We start from the raw sequence: 20,756 nt of genomic DNA, 5'->3' as shown, positions 1-20,756 counted from the left end.
CAGGCTAGTCTCAAACTCCTGACCTCAAGTAATTCACCCGCCTCAGCCTCCCAAAGTGCTGGGATTACTGCCCTGTGGATTTTTTAACTCCTCACAGAAACACACTCTGATGAATTTCCCCGTTTCTGTTTATGATGAGCTCACGGATGTTGTGGGGAGAAAAGCATCTCCACTGTGCACTTGGCTTTTACGATAAATGGATGCTGAAAGCTGGTGGCCCAGCCAGGGTCACCTCCGTCAGAATCCTGACAGGCAGTCACGTCTGAACGTGGCCAGTGCTCTCACTACGTGTCTGTGAAAGTCAGAAGGATAAGAGTCCCAGAGACCAACATGCTATTCACCAGGACTGTTGACTGTCAGCCCAGAGTGTCCATTCCAGATCCCAAGCCTCCTGGATTCCTTCAGAGGGTCTGCCCATGCCCTGAATTCCCTCCTAACTCCCCACCTGTGCCCTCGGTCCCCTGGGTGGTGCGGGAACGCACATCTGGTGGGTGTGAGCAAGCGTGGCCCGTGCTGGTCACGCTGTTTACTCTCCCTGAAGATGGACAGTAGGGCTTAATCTGGTCCAGGTCATGAGACCTGGCTGGCAGCCTCCACCATTAGACAACTCCCAAGCTCATCAGACTTTTCAATGATGCGGCTTCATTCTCATTAAAATTAACTTTCTGGCTGGGTGCGGTGGCTCACGCCTGTAATCCCAGCATTTTGGGAGGCCAAGGCGGGTGGATCACCTGAGGTCAGCAGTTCGAGACCGGCCTGGCCAACATGGCGAAACCCCATCTCTACTAAAAACACAAAAATTAGCCGGGTGTGATGGGCGCCTGTAATCCCAGCTACGTGGGAGGCTGAGGCAGAAGAATCACTTGAATCTGTGAGGCGGAGGTTGCAGTGAGCTGAGATTGCGCTACTGCACTCCAGACTGGGTGACAAAGCGAGACTCCATCTCAAAGAAAACACAAACCAAACAACTTTTTAAGCCATAAGTGTGAAGGCAGTAAACATTTTAATGTTTCAAGTTCACTGAAAAGGGCCATGGCCCTAGGCAGTCACTGGCTGTTTCATATGATCTCAAAGAGCAAACAGGAGGAGCCAGGGGTCAACTGGGCTAGGCTTGGTCCTGGGGTCCACCTGTTGGCAGCAGGAACTTGAACTCATCGCCCACCTGTCTCCAGGCCACAGTTTCCTCACTGATAACATGGAAGCAGTGCCTCGTGTGGCCGTTGGAGACCCAGCGTGGCAGGCACCGTGGTCTGGCATAACACTGTGTGACCTGCAGGCTACAGCCGCCCTCATCCTGCCACCTGCCCTCCTCTCCTGCCTGTCCCAAGATGAGCACACACAGCGTTCTCCAGTGCCCTGCAGAAGGCACCATGGGCTCCCACAACCACGGCCCAGGGGATGAAATGACACCATGCTCCCTTTCTGGGGCTCTAATTTGAGTGGTGAGATACTGGAAGCCTGGCAATCACCAGACACCCAAAAATGACCAAAGGGGAACCTTCCGGAGCTTAGGCCCCTTGCCCAGCTAGCTGATTCTGCAGAGGCCACGTGACAAAGGCTCATCACCCAAGTGATGTGAGCATCTACGACACAGAGCAGATGAGCAGTAGCCATCGTATTAGCCAGGGGCCAGGCCCCGGACGGTCTTCTGCCCCAACCGGAAGCTGGCTCTAGGAGCATGGGTCACCAAAGACACACAAAGGTAAGATGTAGCCCAGCCAGGGGACCAGTGTGGGGCTCTGGAAGCAGCTACCTGGGTCACCTCTTGGCTCTGCTACTTACAGCCCTGTGACCCCGGACCAGGCCCCTACACCTCCCCTTGCCCCTCCACTCTCAAAGGGCAGCAATGAGGCTCATGGGAGCACATAGGTGTGAGGCTCTGAGCACACTGCCCGGCGCCTAGGAAACACTAAATCAACAGTGGCCACCAACTATACCCTTGCTCTTTCCCTTTCATTTCTAAAGCCTAAGGTATCAAGCCACACTTCACATTTAGAATGAGAACTAAAAGGCTTTGATCCATCTTAGTGATTCTAAGCTATTATGATTTTATTACATCACATATAAGAAGGGTAGCCATGGTTTATTAAGTGCCACAAGCTGGTCACAGTGCTTCACAGGTATCAAGCTATTTGATCTAATAAGATGGATATTTTTATTATTAATATTTCCTTTTCACAGGAGGGGTAAGTCACCCAGTTGCCCTGCTAGTAGGCGGTGGAGCCAATTCTGAACCCAGACTCTCTTACTGTGGAGCCCACATTCCTGAGCTCTATCCTATACTGCCTCCTCCTTTACTGAGGGCATTTTGCTAACAAGTACTACACCTGGAATCATTTTTTTGAAAGAAATAGCGGGAGAAAGAAAATTTTAACTAAGCTCCACATATAGTTCAATTCATCTTAACCTCCTTGTTACATATTAATTTAGAATTACCACAAAGGAGAGTAAGTGCATTTTCTATAAAGCTACAACATTAATGGATTTACATTAAATATTTGCAAATCCAAGAACAATGTTCACGACCTGCCAATAGGTGTGAGACTGTGGCTCCCACCAACCCCAGAGCTGCTGCCACCTCTCCCTGCCACGAGCTGCCAACCAGAGCAGTGGGCACAACATCCTCAATTTTCAGTCATGACCATCTAGCCACAAGACTAAAACACGCAGGAGCTGATAACATCTCACATCCTCCTAAGATAACCTGCATCAACCTCGCCCGTGAGCCAAATTCTGAAGTGTAATGTTGCTTGCCAAGCTTTGTTTGAATGGTGGAAATTTCCATCCAGTAACTCACAAATGTAGATACTGAAATATAAATAGTTCAAAGATGCAAAGCTTGTCATCCAGCGATCTGAAAGTACTTGAGAGATCTCTCAGAAATAATAAGACTGTTACCTGTCTTGTACACGCAAGTACACAAGTCTCAAGATAGAGGGATTTAACGCGTCTGAAATTAGTCATAATATGAGCCATGAGGAAGAAACCAGAAGTCTCAGAAAAGGAACCATACAAAGATTCTCTTGGAGGACAACTCCAGGGAGCATGTAGCCTGTCTTGGGGGAAAGCACAGAGCTCAGAGTGTTGAGATTCGAAATCCCCATTTTGTGTAAGAGATGGCACTCTCTGTGATGCCCAAGCAAAGGCCCTCACTGCTTCCGGCCACAGCATCTTCCTCCCTCAAAAAGAATGGGTAGAAAACCTGACCGCAGGGTTGCTGTGAAGACAGAGTAAGTTACTGCTCACAGACTAATAAATACCAAGCTAATACTATTATTATTAGAAAGAGGAGTATTTGCCTTCATGAAACCAGGAACACGAAAATCAATTTTTAGCAAAATTTGACCTGTAACATTAAAATACCTTGAGCACTATTGTGTGCCAGCCCTGGCTGTAGTGATGACCTCTGCTATTCCTCACTCCAATCCTGAGTTTGGCACTTGGATCAGCCCTGTTCTGCAGATGCAAAAACTGAGGCCCAGGGTCACATGGTTAAGAAGAGGTGGAGCTGGCATTCAAGAGTAGGCTGCTTGACCCAGAATCCAGGCTCTTACCATTCCCCAGCCACCCCTCTGTCCATCCACGGTGCTGTGCGGCCAAAGAAACAGCCCTCAGAAACCACCTGCGTGAAGCTTAGTCAGAGGTGGCTCATGGGTTTGACACAGCAAGGGAAGATCAAAACAGCCCAGCATCTCAAGGCTCTTGGTTTTCCTCTCTACTTCTCCTCTCTACCAAGCTGTCTTTGAGGGTAAAAGTATAGGCTCTTCTACTGTGATTTAGCTTTTTGTGATTCCATTCATTCATTTGCATGCCAGCTCTGAGCCAGGCACTGGCTGGGCAGCTGAGACGCAGGGGTAATTTTGGAAGCTCAGAAGAGAAGCACAAAATCCCATGCTGAGTGCCATAATCCCATGATCGTAGGGGCAGAGGAGTACGAAGAGTAACCAAGAAAGACTCTCCTGGCCACAGGGTTAAGGGTGAATGAAGGAAGGCTTCCCCTAGCCTGGGGAGATGAGGTGGGTTCTTGGTAGAGAGAGTGGCCCAAAGAAAGCACAAATGCTAGAATGACTGGCAGTTCAGCCTGGCTAGCCCATGGGGAGTGGCTGCGGAGACGCAGGGCTGGGAGAGAAAAAGGGCTCCAAGAGAGCCCTGCTGGCCAGGCTAAGCTCTTTGAAATTCATATTCTAGAGACTTAGCCAACTCAGATATTGAGGTATAGTTCTCAAGAAGCACAGAACGCCCCTGGGAAGAGAGAAGGTGACAAAATGATGCTGCCCATTTTCCTCTCTAAACCAGATGAAATTCAGAGAAAGGCTGCTGGGTTTGGGCAGGGGCACATGGCACATTTATGACAACTGAAGGGGAGGAGGCCTAGAGGCACAAGGCTGGATGGCCTCCTGCTCACACCATTCAGGACACGGCCATTTTCTGGACAAACTCATTCGCAGGTCTTCAGAAACAGGAAACCTGCAGCTTCTGCTGTAATTCTTAACGTGAGTGCTGATAAATATGAAACTTAGTGAAAGGGCTCCTCCCTTTTTCACCAGACTTTTGTGTAGAGTACATTCTCATGTTAGTGACACTCATCCTTACTGTTTTTAGTAATGTAACACCATAGTTATCATAGATGTACCCTTCCTTCTTGTTGCAAAGGTTTTCATCCACCACCATCTCTGGTTTCCTGTGTGCCCCTGTTGGCTTAGTGGGTTTAGGCTTGGAAACTGTAATTTCTATATGGGCTTACAGAAATGCCAGCTCCACAGTCACAAAATCAAATAAGCAAGCAGGCAATGAAAACCCAAGAGTGCAAGGAAAAGCAAGCCCTTGGGTCTCTTTGCATTTGGTCAGGAGCCCAAAAGGTTGAGCAAAGCGTCTGAAAGACAATGTTTAACATTTCACAAAACACCTAAATTATGCCCAAAGGAACTAGTCCCGCCGGGTGTCTAGAGAAGGCCCTGGTCTCCAGAGACAGCAAAGCGTGGCACCTCCGACTCCACTGAGGTGGCCCCAGGCCTTGCGGATACTCAAACACAGTACAGCTGATGGAAATGATGTTTGTTATCACACTTTTGGGTTCACACACACAAAACTGTAATAGATGCCCTGGAAAACACTCCGTAAAGTTCAGCTGTCATCTGTCCTTGCCTCTAACCTGCCTAGGGTAGAAGTGACTCGGCAGGCAGCCGGGAAGCGTGACCTTGCCGCATGATCTCCGGATTCCAGCCGGCTTAGCGGAGCCAACGCTGCAGATTCCCAAGGGCAATTCCAAGGTTCCAAACCCCACCCTGGCCACTTTTCAGTGCTGACCCCAGAGAAGGCTCAGACATGCTTGGATCAACCCCAGGAGGCCCTGGCTCCCTTACAGCTTCACCCCACACTGTCAGCTAAAAACAAAACCAGCACGTTTTATAAGGAATCAAAAATCAACTGTCTCCTAGGAAAATTGTGCCACCTGAAGTAAAGACCTGTAAATCAAAAATAAAATTCAAAGGCCCCCTGAACCATGGGGATGGACTCCCTCCTTGGCCAGGGCACTCTAAAATTTCCCCTGAAAGACTGGTTCAGGCCATGACGGGAAGTGGCGGTCCGTCTGACATGCCTTATCGTAGCCTGTAACATTAACATCAACACAGACCTTAAGTCTGATACGAAGCATTTACAGTCTGTTCTCTCTCAAGCCTGCTGCCTGGAGGCCTCATCCGCATGATACAACCTAGGTCCCCACAGCCCCGTATCGTAACCCAGACATCCCTTTCTATCGATAATAACTTAACCAATTAGAAAAAAATTTAAATTTACCTATAACCTGGAAGTCCCCCTTTGGGCTGTCCCACCTTTCTAGACGGAACCAATGTACATCTTAAATATTGATCACTGTCTTACGTCTCCCTAAAAGTATGAAACCAAGCTGTTCCCGACCCCTTTGGGCACGTGTTCTCCTGGTCTCCTGAGGCTGTGTCACGGGCCATGGTCACTCAGGATAAATCTCTTTAAATGTTTTAGTTTGACTCTTTTCGTGGACACACCTCTCTGATTTAAACTGGAGTCTGGAAGATTCCCGCAGTCCCCCGACGCAGCTGAAGCCACAGGGGCGCAGACTCCACACACCCGCGGGCCGTTCCCCTGCGGACACCACACCAGCATTTGAGCGCCATTTCCATTCCCGGGGTCTCCCAGTCACCGCTCAAGCCTGAATGGAGCGCAGGCCGCCCCGGGTGGCAACACCTCCACCCTCAGGTCCACACTGGCGACCCTTCCTACTGCCAGCGCTCTCAGGCTTCCTGGACCGGTGTTCCTGGACCTGGGGAGGAGAACACCAGCACGCGCGGGGCGCCGGGATTTGCATGGCCCGGGTGATCCCCTATGCATAGGGCCGCCCCTGTCCCAGGGAGGCTGCGACCCCGCTCGGGGCTGCAGCTGCCTCCTCGCGCTTGGCAACAGCGCGGGGCGCCCGCAGCCAATCGCGCCGCTCCCCGCGCCGCCGCTCCGCCGCGGAGGTTACTAGCGAGCGTTGACCGGTAGTAACCCCGGCGCGGGCGGTGGCGGCGGATGGGCGGGCGCTGCACACGCGCGGCAGCGCGCACCCGCCCCGCCCGCACCTGCGCGCGCGAGGGGCTCCGGCAGCGCTGTTTTCTCCCGGGCGTTGAGCTCGGGCAAGAGCGCGAACGTCACCCTGCGTCCACAGGCCTGCAGAGTCAGCACCTGCACCAGCCAGAGAAAGGACGGGCTTTTTTACTCAGTATGGAGAGCCTGCGTTAGAGCTGACACTTAGTGGGCAGAGCCCGGCCTTCCGGGAGCCTGCACATCACCACGGGCCAGGATGAATCCCGCCCTGGGAGGGAACGTCTGGGTGGAGGCCAGGTGGCCTGATAACCCCAGGGCCAGGGTGGGCAGAGGTGTCCAGTGCAGCCCCCAGCCAGGTGCGGGGAGCTCCAGACAAAGGACAGAGGCCAAAGATGCCCCCATACCTGCATCCATGAAAGAATTCCCGGAACACGTGCCCCAGGAGGAGGAGAGGCCTTTTGTAGCTCCTCATTGTCAGCAGGGTTTGGGGTTTATGTCTTGGGTAAGGAAAACTCAACCCAGCTTATTTTATTATCTGGGTCTGAGCGATTGCAAAGAGATGAGTTCTCAGTGGCGCTTATAGAGGCAGGGAGTTGGGACTCCAGGTGTTAAGTCCAGTCCTGGACCTGCCCCCTACCTGCCAGCGGTCCTGGGCAGGCCCTCGTTCCCCCTCCACCCTCCTTCCCTTCTGGAGAAGATGCCCATACTGATGTGTGTCCCATGCTGCTCCCCAAAGGCTTAATGAGGCAAAGCGCCAAATAAAGCAAACACGATTTGCTCAGTAAACACCAGTTATTTTTAATTAAAACAACAACAACAAAAAAAAACACTTCTCCCAAAACAGTGGGAGGAGAGAAATAACAACTGAGAAATCCCATAAAAACTCCTGCCAAAAGGTTCACTTTCAAGACAGGCAGTTGAGATATCAGAGAGGGGGACTTTTTTGGTTGGAAGGCACCAAGTTGCCTTATAACAGTAAAAGAAACAGAAAGAACGTGACTCAGGTTCTGCCCTTCCAGCGGGTTCCACCCTTATCAGTTTACAGACAGCAAGAACCTTCCAGCAGGGGCGCCTGCCCACTGACCTGCACCCTGCGGATGCCGCAGTGATGCCCACCTCCCAAAGCAGGACTCTGACCTCATTTCCTGCAAGGGCCATGTGCTTCTTATTTCCTCCTCTCAAGGTAGCTCTGGATTGTAATGTATTTGGTTATTGTTCTGTACTTGGCTGGGCTTTTCCCCTTGATTTGTGAGCTTATTTCAAGACCAAGATTAACTTGGTCTACGGAGTTTCAAAAAACAGAACCTGGATCCACAAATGAACATTGCTCAAATACAGATTGCAGCTCAACAGACAGAAGCATTTTCTAAGAATGAGGGTTGTGCAAACATAGCCCGGCTGCCTGGGAGGTGTCAGTTCCTGGTTGCTGGAAGTGCTCAGACAGAAGCTGGCTGTCCCTTGTCAGAAATGGTGCAAGAAGGCTCCCTCCACGGGGCAGGAGGGCGGGCTACGGCAGCACGACTCCTTTTGGCTCCAAGATTTGGACTCTAAATATAGGTCTCAGCTGGATGTAATCACAGCCCTGAAGTCACCCTGGTGTGTCTTACTTTTGACACCAAATGCCATTTACCCCACAGAGCACGGAGGTGACAAACAGCACACAGCTGACAAAGTGGGAAGTGAAACTCTTGGCTGCAGGTCAGACTGGATCCCTGCAGGCCCACCCGCCACCACTCATGACTGAAAACCCATCTTTTTGCGTTTTTTCACAATGTGAGCAAAAACAGTCGGCACTGGGTACATTGTATTTGAGAGTAAGTTTCCTATGCAGGTGTTGGAACTTCATCAACTGAGTTTGATGAATGCACCTCCATGACAAATCCCTAGTTTTACGGTTTAGTCCTTCAGGATATATTTAATCTGACCCACATGGTTTTCTTTGTTCATAGCTAATCTGTTGATTCTAGAACTGAACTCAGAAAGAGCAGGTGTATGGTTACTAAACATTTTTCTTCCTGCCAATTTATAAACAAAAGAAACGGTGTCATGTTCAGCAAAATGTCACCTTTGGTGATTTCTTGGACTGGTGGATTAGGTTCTGGTTTATAGGGAGGGCCTCCATTTGAGAACGTGAACTTTTCAAGATACAAGCCTATTCAAGGCAGTAGAGGAAGGCAGGGGGGCACCCACCATGCAGGTGAAAACGATTGTGGTAAGAACATCCTCCAGCAGTTAAACAGTGACACCAACCCCCACGGAGCAGAGCACAGTCCTACAGAGTTGCACTGAAGGGGCCAGATGGTTCAAGAACAGGAGCACTCTCTGGGAAAATGACAAAGTATTAACATGTCCAAATAAAGAACCTGCCAATCTGAGGGTGGCAAAGAGAAAAGCAGACCCCAAGGCCAATGTTGGCAGAGCCATCTGAGCCTTGTCCAGGGAGGCTGCCACCGCTAACAACGCCACACTAAGGAGTCACACACCCAGATCCCAGGCCCAAGCTGGTGAGGGTTTGGTTTCCCTTGCAACGTGCTCACAGGGAGAAAATGTGCTGGCTGGAGGGGAGCATCTAGACCCCTTGGATATGAAGCCTGTCCAAGAAAGTAGCAAACCCCTTTGGTCTTGCACATGGCGGCTAAACATTCAACTCTCATGAATCTGCTGTGAGAGTTGGTCCATTCTCAAAATTTTTTCAAAGCCTCTTTGGGGCCCTGTAAGGCAGAGGGGTCAGAACTGTTCCAGAAGACCTCATCACCAAAGGAGTGCTACCCCTCAGGGCCTGAGTGGTAGCCCACCCACCTGGGGGCCACTGAGAACCTAGGAACTGGCCCCAGCGGGGAAGAGAAGGGTTCTCCAGTCCTCTGAATTCTCCAAGGCAGACTCTTTGTCAATGCCCCAGCCTCAAGCAAGCCATCCCTGCAAGTGGCCTGGGGCCACGACACTGCACCAGGGGTCAGCTGTCACCTCCATTAAAGGCAAAGGACTAAAAGAAATGTCCTGTGGGCCCACAAGAAAGCCCACTTTAGCACAACAGCCTCAAAGAAGCACAAAAGTAACTCACTTATGCTAGGGAACTATCCATCCCCCTTCAGCCTGAGCATCTGCCCCTCTCAAAACCCCTAGCCACAGGATCTCCACACTCTGCCTTTAACCGGGCTGCCTCCCCTCCCTGTTCTAGCAGGTTGGATCAAGTCACTAGCACTTGGTTGGAATCCAGTCTTCCCTTAATGGAATTCCTGAAAGGATTTATTCATGATGCCTTCCATGCACTTTAGCTGGCCTGTCATTACAGGCCTTGTGAAATGGCTATAGAAATTAAGAGAAAGCAACCCCGAATTTGAGAAAGGTGTCCAAATGCATTTTTATAGCGTAGAAGCAAACCAATACAGATAATCTGACTTGGCGCTGCCCGGAATATTTAACCCCTTCCTGGTTTTTGGCAAGGATGAGCCTGGAGGGTTGGGTTTCAAAGAAGGAGGCGACATTCCATTCCATCAGAGCGTCACCATGTGGAGGCCACGGCCTGACTGCAGATAGGAAAGAAAACGCTCTAAAGCCCCAGATATGACTACATTTGTTCTCAACCTGAACTTCGCCTCAAGGTAATCTTGGGAGGTAAATTTGATTTCTGAGAATCGCTTCACCTGTTGGAGAGAAAGCACGCCATGCACATCAGCCTCCCCTTCCTGGTGAGAAGAGGGAAGCTGGAGCCTCTCCAGAGGGACAGGAAATCCCTATAAATGGCCAATGGCCGCTGACATCCAAGCAGGCCAATTAAAAGGAAAATACATCAGTTTACAGCCAAGGCAACCCCACACCATTTCATAACACGGGGCTAGGCACAGCTGTGCCTTGGTGGTCCAGTCCTGTGCCCACGTCAGAGCTAAGCACTTGCTACGCTCCTTTTTGGCCTGAAATCCCACAGACCTGGTTCTGAGTTCCTTCCTCCCCACTCCTATGACCTTGGTCACGTCTCTGAGCCTCATGTCACAGGTTTCCACAGGAAGAATGTGCAGATCCTTCCTGAATCGGCCCCATGAGCCAAATGGATTGAAGAACGGCTATCATTCAGTCAACTACGCGTGGGAACCGCCGGGATCTCCTGGGGGATGGGCAGTGTACGAGTACCCAAGCATTCCATTTGTTCACTGTGGCCAATCACGCCCTAATAAAATGAGACCCTTGTGTGAATGGGCTCTGAAAGCAGCTTACGATAAAATCTGCTCATCCCCATCATCTTTACCTAAGAAGAATTTTATTCTGTGAACTTACTCTTAACCACATTCCTAAATGTTCTCAACATAGTGTCTACTCTGTAGGAAGAAAAGGCTGCTTTCAAAAGAGTCACACCTAAGGGTGAGGAGGAACAAATAAACCAGATCACTCTGATCTGTCCCCAGCGCAGTTTGTGTGACAGCACCAAAGCTGATATTGTTCCGAGCCATTTGTCCCATCAACACAAGCTACGTGAGTGAATTCCTTGAGGGAGAGTAATTACTGTATCTGAGGCCGGGGAAATTATCCTTGGGGTGTACTCCTCTCTCCTGAGAATAGTTCCTCTCACAATTATGTTTTCTGCTAGGAATCTATTATATGATCTAGTTTTCCCTCCAAAGACATCATTAGTCATATGGTGAAAATGTAACTACAATTGAAAATACAAGATGTTTTGTTAAAATGCCATATTCAACGCTTAGTAACTGTCAAGCTCAAAAGTTTTACAGAATCAGTGCCTGGCATCTCTTCTTAAAAATGCCGCTACTGTTTCCCGCATCGCCTTTCTTGTAAGGATTGTGAAGTTCTCCTTCTTTAAAATAATTACGTAGGACTTCATAAAGTTATTCTGGTCACAATGCTCAGCTTTGCTAGGGCGTTGTATGTTGCGTTTGTATCGCAGCACCATGTTTTGGGGGAAATCATGTGAGAAAAAGTCTTTCCTGGAAACAACCGGAGTGGTCCAGTGTCTTTGTAATGGGAAGGAACTTGGAGTCAGAATAGCTGGGTCCTAGCCCTGGCTCTGCCTTTGAGTGAATCAGCTCTGCGCCCGAGCTCCTGTTTCCTTTGCCCTACTGTGAACCATGGGACCAGGCACTTTCTTTCTTTCTTTCTTTTGTTTTTGTGTTTTTTTTTTGAGACAGAGTCTCACACTGTCACCTGGGCTGGAGTACAATGGTACGATCCCGACTCACTGCAACCTCTGCCTCCTGGATTCAAGCAATTCTCCTGCTTCAGCCTCCCGAGTAGCTGGGATTACAGGCACTCGCCACCACGCTTGGCTATTTTTTTTGTATTTCTACTAGAGACAGGGTTTCACTATGTTGGCCAGGCTGGTCTCGAACTCCTGACCTCGTGATCCACCTGCCTCAGCCTCCCAAAGTGCTGGGATTACAGGCGTGAGCCACTGTGCCCGGCCAGAACCAGGCACTTTCAAAACTGCTTCACTTCTTACCTTCGGAGACACCTCCCCAGCAATGCCAGGACATCCAGCCTCCGCGTGATCATTACAATTAGCTCAATGCATCAAACTGAATTTTTAAAAGTTGAAAACAATGGACTTGATACAGACAGCAAAATGAATATACTGAGAGCAGTCAGAGAAGTAGCCCCTGACCCAACGTCACACTTGGAGTCGCACAGAGATGATGCCAAATACAAACTCCGCCACTGTGAGAAGAGAGAAATGCAGAGTGAGGCTGGGCTCTGACTTCTCAGCCTAACCTAATCATGGCTGGGGACTGAGACCACCGCCAGCAATTGGAGGGACAAAAGCAGGAGCAGGAGGAACCCATGCATGGGAGGGGCAAAAGAGGCCGACTTGGTGGACCAGCAGGCGCAGAGGCGGACCAGGAGGGTGGCGACCCGTGTGGGTGAGGTCCAGTGGGATGCAGCTCCTCCTGCAGCCCCAACACAAGATCCGCATTTAATGCGCACTGTTATTGATTGTCCTGGCTTTTGGTTGGGGAAATATGGTACCCAAGTTTGGAGCCAACTGGACGCAGCACCCAAGAACAGGCTGGTGTTGGGACAACAGTGGGCACAGAGAGGGCTTCTGCAGCTAGCACCCTTTGGCAGGAAAAACTCTTCAGCAGTGGCAACTGAACCACCAACAGCAGGAAATCCTGTGGGCACCAGAGCCTCCAGGAAGAGCTCTGCTTCCCTGCTGGCTACATGGACCCTGGCACCCCATAAGGCCCTGTGCTAGACAAGGCATGGCCACTGTGTCGGAGTGCACAGAGCTAGAAATTGCTGTCCTCATCCCAGCCCTGCCCCTTTCAAGCCCAGGAGCATGGGCAAGTCCCTTAACCACCTTTGTCTCAGTTTCCTTTCTATTCTGTGTGCTGGAGTGATAAACCATCTAGACTCTGAATTGTAGGCACCAGGAACAAAGGAAAGGATGGGGCAGGCAGGGGAGGAGGAGCAGGGAGAGGGAAGACAGACGCAGGTGCTGCTGTGGCTGGGGAGGGCAGTGGGTAGGAAGCCAGACAGCAAAACTACCCTTGGCCCCTGCAGAAACCAGCAGCTGGAACACAGCAGACATATCCTGTCTGTCAACCCCTCTGGCTCCACCCATTTCTGAGTCATGGGCAGGTCCCTCGGCGGCCCATTGCAGGCTCTTCCCCTGCCTGAGCACACAAGGTTACTGTAGGGCAAGTCTCTATCTGGTGGCCACCCCGCCCGGGCTGCGCTCCTAAGAATGGACAGTTGGGGCTCCTCCCTCACTACAAGCCATTACCAGCTGGCTAACTGTGATGATTCATGTGATCAGTTTAAACACTTAGAGAATATAGGGGTGACAAGTCACATACTGGGTGATGTGGTTTGGCTCTGTGTCCCCACCCAAATCTCATCTTGAATTGTAATCCCCACGTGTCAAGGGAGGGACTGGGCGAGAGGTGTGATTGGATCCTGGGGGCGGTTCCCTCATGCTGTTCTCATGATAGTGAGGGAGTTCTCATGAGATCTAATGTTCTAAATGTGTGTGGGTTCTTTTATGCTCTCTCTCTCTCTCTCCCCTCACCCCATGCCACCATGTAAGACATGCCTTGCTTCCCCTTCACCTTCTGCCATGATTGTAAGTTTCCTGAGCCCTCCCCAACCATGCCAAACTGTGAGCCAATTAAACCTCTTTCCTTTAAAAATGACCCAGTCTCAGGTAGTTCTTTATAGCAGTGTGAAAATGGACAAACACACTGGGTAGGGGAGCGATACTCACTGCTTGCAAACACTGGCTACACCTGTGTGCCAGGCTTATGCCAAGACATTTCAAACCCAGATGCCACCAGGTTTCAGATGTCTTCATTTCTGCATTACAACCCATCTTCATTTTACAAGACACCTTTCCCAGCATTTTCTACTGTCATGACAACATTTCCAAGGCCACACATAACAGACGGACAGGAATCGCTCTATGTTGCTCACTGCTTTGCCATAATTTGTCTATATAGACAAACGACGCCAAAACATGACGCGGTGTCCTGGTTTCTTGATACATTTTTCTATAAAATATTTCTTTAAGTTGAGAAGGAGAATTCTAGAACCCTATGTTGAAATTTCAACATGATCAAAGGAGTGGGCCCACATCTGAGCCTGCCACAGAGCTGCTTTCTTAACAGAACAGGCTGGTATGCTCTGAAAATGCAAGTATCACATCACAGTGCTATACTGTTGTCTGTTGAGAAGGTACTGAATCTGTTTCTGCTTGTGCAAACACAGACATACAGTTACCCAGCCACCAACTGGGCTTGCAGATCCCAGGGACCAGTCTTTCAAAGCTCTAAAATTGTGATTACAATGAAGATGGGACTGCCCATGCTAAGGGTCTCAAAGACTTAGCTTCAAGAGGGTAGAAAAACAAAAAGAAGATAATAGGGAAAAGAAGAAAGACAACTGAAAATTTAAAACGTGAGTCTTGATTGGTCTTCTTCAAAATGAAAGAAGGGCTGAATCCAGTTTTAAGTTCAAAGTCCTAAAATATTAGCATATTCCAGGGGTACCTGAGTCATTTGTATTGTTCCAAAGTCCTCCCAGATTTTCAAATTGCTTTCCATGATTCAGTAGAAACTAGGGACCATGGTTTCTTGATGAAGTCTGACACGTCCTCTGCCTATCAGCTCCCCCAACCCACCTGTCTGATCCACTTAGGAGCAGACAATGAGTGCTTGGAGCATAAGGAGATGAAGGATAAATTCCACAGAAGAAACAGATCAGGCTTGAAAAAAACACACCAACCCAGGGCGGCATTAACTCCACAAACTGTGAAACTCTAGAGCTAGGGAAGGTTGCTGAGAAAACTCAAACTACCACTCATCAATTTCCTGTAACATGCAACAAGCTAGTGGCAAACTCCTGCACTGTGTGGCGTTCCAGACACCTCCTGAGCTCTATCCTCTCTGTTTTTTCTATTTTTATGTATCAGCTCTTTTCAACAGTTTAGTTTTCTTTCTAGCCTACCACAACCACCCACAAAAGAATCCTTTCAAGATGGGTCTCTGGAGAGGTCAGTCTAGGTCACTGGCCACTTTTTAACACTTCACGCTTGGGAGGGGGGCACCTGTCCCCCATTTTGCTCTGGGCGGTTGAAAAACAGTTCCATCTTGAAAGATGGACATGAACAGCATCCACAAAAGAGGACTCTCTCAGCACATGCCAGAAACAGGCACACTTTGACACCCGTCAATCTTTGTGAAATTCTCCATAATGACATCGCAGAATTTCAGAGCAACCATGAACTTTGAGATCACCAAATCCAACCTGTTCATTTTATAGGAGAGGAAAATTCAGGCAGAAAGCAATAGAATAAATTGACCACAGCAGTGACGGCGTTGGGAAGAGAAGCTCAGCCTCTCAACCTCCAGACCCCGATTTTGCCCAAACAACCTGTTGCCTCCTTCAGAGGCTCCTCCCAGCTTGATACACAAAGCAGCCGCCCTCCCTACCTTTCTTCCTCCACCAGGGTCCTTCAGGAACCGAATAGGAAAGGTCCCTGAATTCAATGTTCACAGCTGCCCTCCGAGGCAAGGAGGAGAAGCGCTGGGCTTCCGTGAGGTTATTATCTACTTTTTTCAGATGTCCATTCAGCAGGTCCGTCTCAGTGGCCTCCATGTTGCTGGACACCACCTCATCCACCGAGACACACACCGACTTGGGCTCCGTCATCTCTGCAGAGTAACTGCTGGCATTCTAGAAAAACCAGAGGAAGCAACAAGACCTGTTATAAGCTGCATCAAGAAAAAGAACATGAAGAGATTCACCATGAGGCTCAGGGTCATTGGTTATTAATAGCAACACTTCTTCCACTGCAGGAGCACCTTTGGCCCCAGGAGAAATGTGCCCACCTAGAGGAATTTGTCATCTCCGTCACATTTTCTTCTATTAAAAAATGCTTAAGGTAAAGTGTTACACTGATCTACAAGTCTTACTTTGGAATCATAAAATCTAATCATAAAACTATAATCCATGAATCATCACTTGCCTCAAAGAAGAAAACACTGGCCACCATAGGCATCGATCTATTTACAGTCCCCTCATTTTAAAAACCTCAATAAAGACACACCAGGTGCCTAAGAAATAAAAAACCGAGAAACTTATATTTACACTGAGCTGTTTTGTGCCTTTCTCGCGTAATCTCATAAAAATGTCTCAGGAGCAATGACATCACCTGAGCTGCTGAGTTTTGTGGGGATTGGCCTTTGTATTTTGCATTTAAAATTTCCAAATCACTTACAATTCTACTCTCTTGCTACCTCTTCATAATAGTGCTGAAAAGTTGGAATGGTTAACATTTTTTAATATGTTAGACAAACAAGGAAACTGAGATATAGACAATTTAAGGACCGTGTTCCAGGTCTCACAATCAAGTGAGTAGCAGAAGTTATCCCAGAATTTGAGTCATAAAAAAAAAAAAAAGATAGGTGTTCATTTCACTGCATCAAGAGAATACCTAATCTTTTGTAGCTACCATTGGCTTTTAAAGCTTCCATTGGGAGTCAAACGAACTGTAACTGATTGCCAAGAACCCAGAAGTACCTATGCAAAGAAAGAAATACCCTTTTTCAATGGCCTGGCAACCGTGAGCAAATCAATAAGCTTCAGGTACCTTCAAAACACAGAAGAACCCTGGGGGAGCAAATTGCTGTGCTTTTTCTTGCTGTCTTCCAAATCGAGAGAGAACATCTCACAGTGCCAAAAGCACACACACACCCCTTCCAGGCATCTTCTACCTCTGAAGTCCTTCATGAAATCAAAACTTAGCTCCTGCACTATAATATTGTGTGGCTAAAACTAAAGGTGCCAAGTGAAACTCTGACAAAGCTGAGCTTGGTCTGCTGGTCCCGGGCATGTGGGGTGTCTTGGATGCCAGCGTAAGTGGGTTCCCCGCATTCCCGAGCAGAGCTGGGAGGGTGTATGTGTGTCTGACAAGGGATCCGCCTTCCTTAGGGGTCTGGTGTGATGATAAGATGCAGACTCCAAGGGAGCGACCCCGAAGCCTCCTCCCAGCTGGTCCCAATGCCCCTGTGGCAGGGCCTCTTGGAGGAGCTGCTACGCCATGCCCCTCAGCCTGCCCTCTGGGATCCCATGCTGCTGCCCCAGGTGTTTAGAGCTCACTTTGATTCCAAAAGAGCCCCAAAAACACCAAATCTGGGCTTTGGAGGGGGGATGTCAACAAAGCTGTGGGACAAGACAATGCGCTCTAGGTCTGGTTCCCTGTGTCCATTTCCATCCCCACCTTGCCACACAAATAAAGACACAGAACGCGCTGGGTTCTACCCAATCCTGCTGGCAGATGTGGGCTCTGCCACGTGACCCCCGATGGCTGTGTGTGCAGTTGAGGGTAAGTCCTAGGGTGCTCGAGCAACTTCTCTCCCATTGTGGGTCCTCTCCACCTCCACCCCAGGAGGCCAGCTGCCACGCAACATCTGCACCCTCTCCCCAGGCACCCATTGCAGGTGTGAGGCCCCTGCTGAAGCCCAGGGACAGATGCTTCTTTCTTGTGGCTGAAGCCCACACTAATACAGGGTGAATGGCCACCACACCACCCATCTACATTATCATGAGACCCTGACTTTCTCTGCTAGACTCACTATCTGCTCACTCACTCACTGTCTCACTCACTCATTCACTGGACAAACTGAGCACCAGATAAAGCCCTGGGGTCAGCAATTAGCCAGGCAGACATGGCCCCTGACCTGGCAAGCTCAAGTTCAAGATCTGGCCCCAGGCAAGAAAACAGGCAACTCATTACAATAGGTTAAGGCAAGAGCCAGGAGGAAAGCATAAGTGCCTCCAGATTGTTGAGAAGCTCAGCTGTGCTTCTTGATGCTTTGGTTATTTTCCTCTGGGCCGTCGCCTTGAGGACTCTTGGTGGGTGCCTTTTCCCCATGTGTGCCTATGATCTGCTTCTTTCATTTTGAGGAAGACCAACTAATTACAATAGGTCAAGCCAAGAGCCAGGCGGAAAGCATACTATGGGTAACTCAGAAGGGATATCTAACGCAACACAGACCCTGAGATGGGGAGACGCAGGACGAAATCTTTCTGCAGAAATAGAATCTTAGTTGAGTTTAGCAAGGTGACATGGAGGAGTGCTGGCTCCTGGTGGCCTCTGCTAGGGAACAGCATAGACAAAGTCCCACCAGCATGAGACAGTGAAGCGTTCAGAGACCTGTAAGAAACGCAGGGGCTGGAGCGTGGATTTGGGCTGGTAGGGTCGGGGCAGGAGAGTAGGGGGCTTTAGAATAAGATGAGACTAGAGGGGCAAACAAGGTCCCCATGGGGAAGGGCTTGCCAACTTGGTTACGGGTTTTGCATTTTATCTAGAGATCTTTGGGGAGCCCCGAGGGAATAACAGGACCAGAACTGCAGAAGAGTCTCCTGCTGTGAGCCAGGTGGGGTGATGGTGGCCTGGATCTGCTGTTGGTAGTGGGGGTGAAGGAAAGGGGACAGGCCAGGAGGATAAAACTGGGTGACTAAACTGATTTGGGAGTAAGAAAGAGAGAAGCCAGAATCAAGTACTTGCAATGTAAAGTATTAAATAATAATGGCTTGTGCATGCTAGGTAAGTGATTATAAACAATAGTGTTTATTGATCCAGCAATTACCATGTGACTATTAAACTCTAACCTATATAGTTTATGCCTCTTATTACCTCCACAACCCTAACAGGGACAGGGGTGCTGGGAGGTGGGATGACCATCTCCAGTTCGGAGGAGGTATCGGAAGCACAGAGACATGGTCTGAATTGCTTAAGACCCCATGATTAGGGCGTGGCCAGGCTGGGGCCCTGCTCTGAGAGGCTTCCAGGTCTGAGACCACAAGCCTCTGTAACGGCCCTTGACTATTGCTTAGCCTTCCACGGGTGAGTTGTGGGTGTTTCGGCATCTTTCAGCCCTTGTCCATTATAGGAAAATCCACACCAAGGAAATCATACAGCCCCATCCCCAAATAAGCCAACAGCAAAGCAATGCATACAGTTGACCACCTTTCCTCCACAGCGTCTAACAGCCTCACCCAATTAATAGGATCGTGAAAACTGCGTGATGCGAGGCAGTGGCCTGTCAGTCTGAAATAGACCAGCTCTCTGGAAACACATCCTCCGATGAGAGCTGCCGGCAATGTAGGTTACAGCGAGTTTCTCCTTAGCCTCCTGAGCTCATTAAAATTAAAACACATGCATCTTCTCTCTTCATTTTTTCCTTTCACTCTTCTGTTTCCCTATCCTACTGAAGCATTGTCTTTGACCTTCCCCCACCCCCGCACCGGGCCACATACGATTTGTGCTGCACAATACATTGTACGTCATAGTAAGTTCATTCATAGATGTGGAATGCCAAAGAGACCCTGTTTGGATTGTTCCTGGCTGCTGTTCATGGGAATATTTTCCTGGGCGCTGAGCAGAGTGGCCTGTGATTGCAGTTTGAATCCTGGGCAGATAGAGATGCCTGTTTAGCTGGGGAGGGTCTGTAGCAGTCAGTAAGCCACCCACAGGCCGTGGTGAGCCGCATTCACTCCATTTCCACCAGGAACACAGAGACAGAAACTTTTTCTCCTAGCATTAGGAGGAAGTCAGGAAACAGGAGGAGGAGCCAGTCAGCAGCACAGTTAGCACGCAGCTGTCTGTCTTCTCTCTTTGGTTCACTGCTGCCAGCCTTGGTACCTGCCTAAGCATCCTAAGCACATAAGAGGAAAATGCACTGACCAAGAGCCCCCAAGGCGACTGCCCAGAAGAAAATACCAAAGGCATCATACCCTGAACTGAGCCAGAGACCAGACCGCACTTGAGGGGTCACTTGGAATCCCAGAACACCTCCAAATACCACCCTCCCACTGGACGCATTTGCCACCCCTTGTATGCCCACCGAACTCAGGGGCTCCAGCATGTTCCCCCGAGTGCCTGGCTCACCCCCAAGTACCTCCTTTGACTCACAGCTCAGAGGGTCCACACCAGGATGGACCCCAGGGCAGGGAGGTGAAGGAAAAGCAAAGCTTAAGATCCTGGTATCTCTGAAGGGCTCTTTGTTTATGACTTGGCCAGAATTTATTTTATTTTTAATTTATTTTTCTTTTAACCCTACAGCCCCCAGAATTCCCAGGTGGTCTCTCATTCAAGGACTAGCCGGGGCCTAACTCTGCTTAGCTTCTACCATCAGATTATTGCTTTCAGGGTGGGACAGCTGTGCATGAATAGAAATGTTTAAACTTTTTTTAAAGTACCCAGTTTTCAGAGAGGAAAATAATTTTCAAAATAAAATAATGTTCTCCAAAACAATGAGCCCAGCCGTTACTGTCTCCACGTGATAACAAGACAGTTGAGCTCCGGGGGCATATTATCAAATGATAATATAACATTTTTTAAAAACTTGGTATTAAAAATCTGTACCTTAAAACATCGGATTCATTATTTTTCCACATGTCCATTATAGGAAAACCCACACCAAGCCACCTTTGCAGCTCTAGAAGGAATTCAAGAGTTAACTAGCATCTAATACAAGATCTATAACTTTCTCTACCTGCAACTAACATCAATAACCTCCTTAATTTTCCATGGTCAACCTCATTTAGAAATCCTAATAGATGAACAAGTGCAAAAGGCAGAATTCCCAAGTGTTGCCCAAAGATTCAACCAGAGAAAAGCAAGTGTCACCGGGAGGGAAACGGCTTTTCCGTTTTGTTCACTGCCTCTTCTACGTAGAAGC

General features: G+C 49.1%; 1 protein-coding gene and 1 pseudogene across 11 annotated transcripts in view, besides 5 other annotated features; both read right to left on the bottom strand.

Annotated features, from left to right (window-relative positions):
* ABCG1 (ATP binding cassette subfamily G member 1) overlaps nucleotides 1–20,756 on the bottom strand; it is a 97,556-nt gene that overhangs the window by 55,830 nt on the left and 20,970 nt on the right. For all 11 annotated transcript variants that reach the window (NM_207627.2, NM_207628.1, NM_207629.2 and 8 more), the window contains one exon: nucleotides 15,501–15,744. In NM_207627.2, the coding sequence (NP_997510.1) occupies nucleotides 15,501–15,744 (244 nt within the window). The remainder of the gene's footprint in view (nucleotides 1–15,500; nucleotides 15,745–20,756) is intronic.
* Nucleotides 4,097–4,146: an enhancer, noted in NCBI's record as "active region_18509". NCBI's record gives its function as "activates an Ori minimal core promoter by ATAC-STARR-seq in GM12878 lymphoblastoid cells {active_cell/tissue: GM12878}" and the evidence as "EXISTENCE:reporter gene assay evidence [ECO:0000049][PMID:35858748]".
* Nucleotides 6,419–6,488: a silencer, noted in NCBI's record as "silent region_13340". NCBI's record gives its function as "represses an Ori minimal core promoter by ATAC-STARR-seq in GM12878 lymphoblastoid cells {active_cell/tissue: GM12878}" and the evidence as "EXISTENCE:reporter gene assay evidence [ECO:0000049][PMID:35858748]".
* Nucleotides 6,499–6,698: a silencer, noted in NCBI's record as "silent region_13339". NCBI's record gives its function as "represses an Ori minimal core promoter by ATAC-STARR-seq in GM12878 lymphoblastoid cells {active_cell/tissue: GM12878}" and the evidence as "EXISTENCE:reporter gene assay evidence [ECO:0000049][PMID:35858748]".
* Nucleotides 12,750–12,999: an enhancer, noted in NCBI's record as "active region_18508". NCBI's record gives its function as "activates an Ori minimal core promoter by ATAC-STARR-seq in GM12878 lymphoblastoid cells {active_cell/tissue: GM12878}" and the evidence as "EXISTENCE:reporter gene assay evidence [ECO:0000049][PMID:35858748]".
* Nucleotides 13,190–13,239: an enhancer, noted in NCBI's record as "active region_18507". NCBI's record gives its function as "activates an Ori minimal core promoter by ATAC-STARR-seq in GM12878 lymphoblastoid cells {active_cell/tissue: GM12878}" and the evidence as "EXISTENCE:reporter gene assay evidence [ECO:0000049][PMID:35858748]".
* On the bottom strand, nucleotides 20,129–20,242 carry RNA5SP492 (RNA, 5S ribosomal pseudogene 492; annotated as a pseudogene).

Source organism: Homo sapiens, chromosome 21 (assembly GCF_000001405.40).
Source record: "Homo sapiens chromosome 21, GRCh38.p14 Primary Assembly".
In the NCBI taxonomy this organism is placed as follows: Eukaryota; Metazoa; Chordata; class Mammalia; order Primates; family Hominidae; genus Homo; species Homo sapiens.
This window is presented reverse-complemented; position numbering and strand designations above follow the sequence as displayed.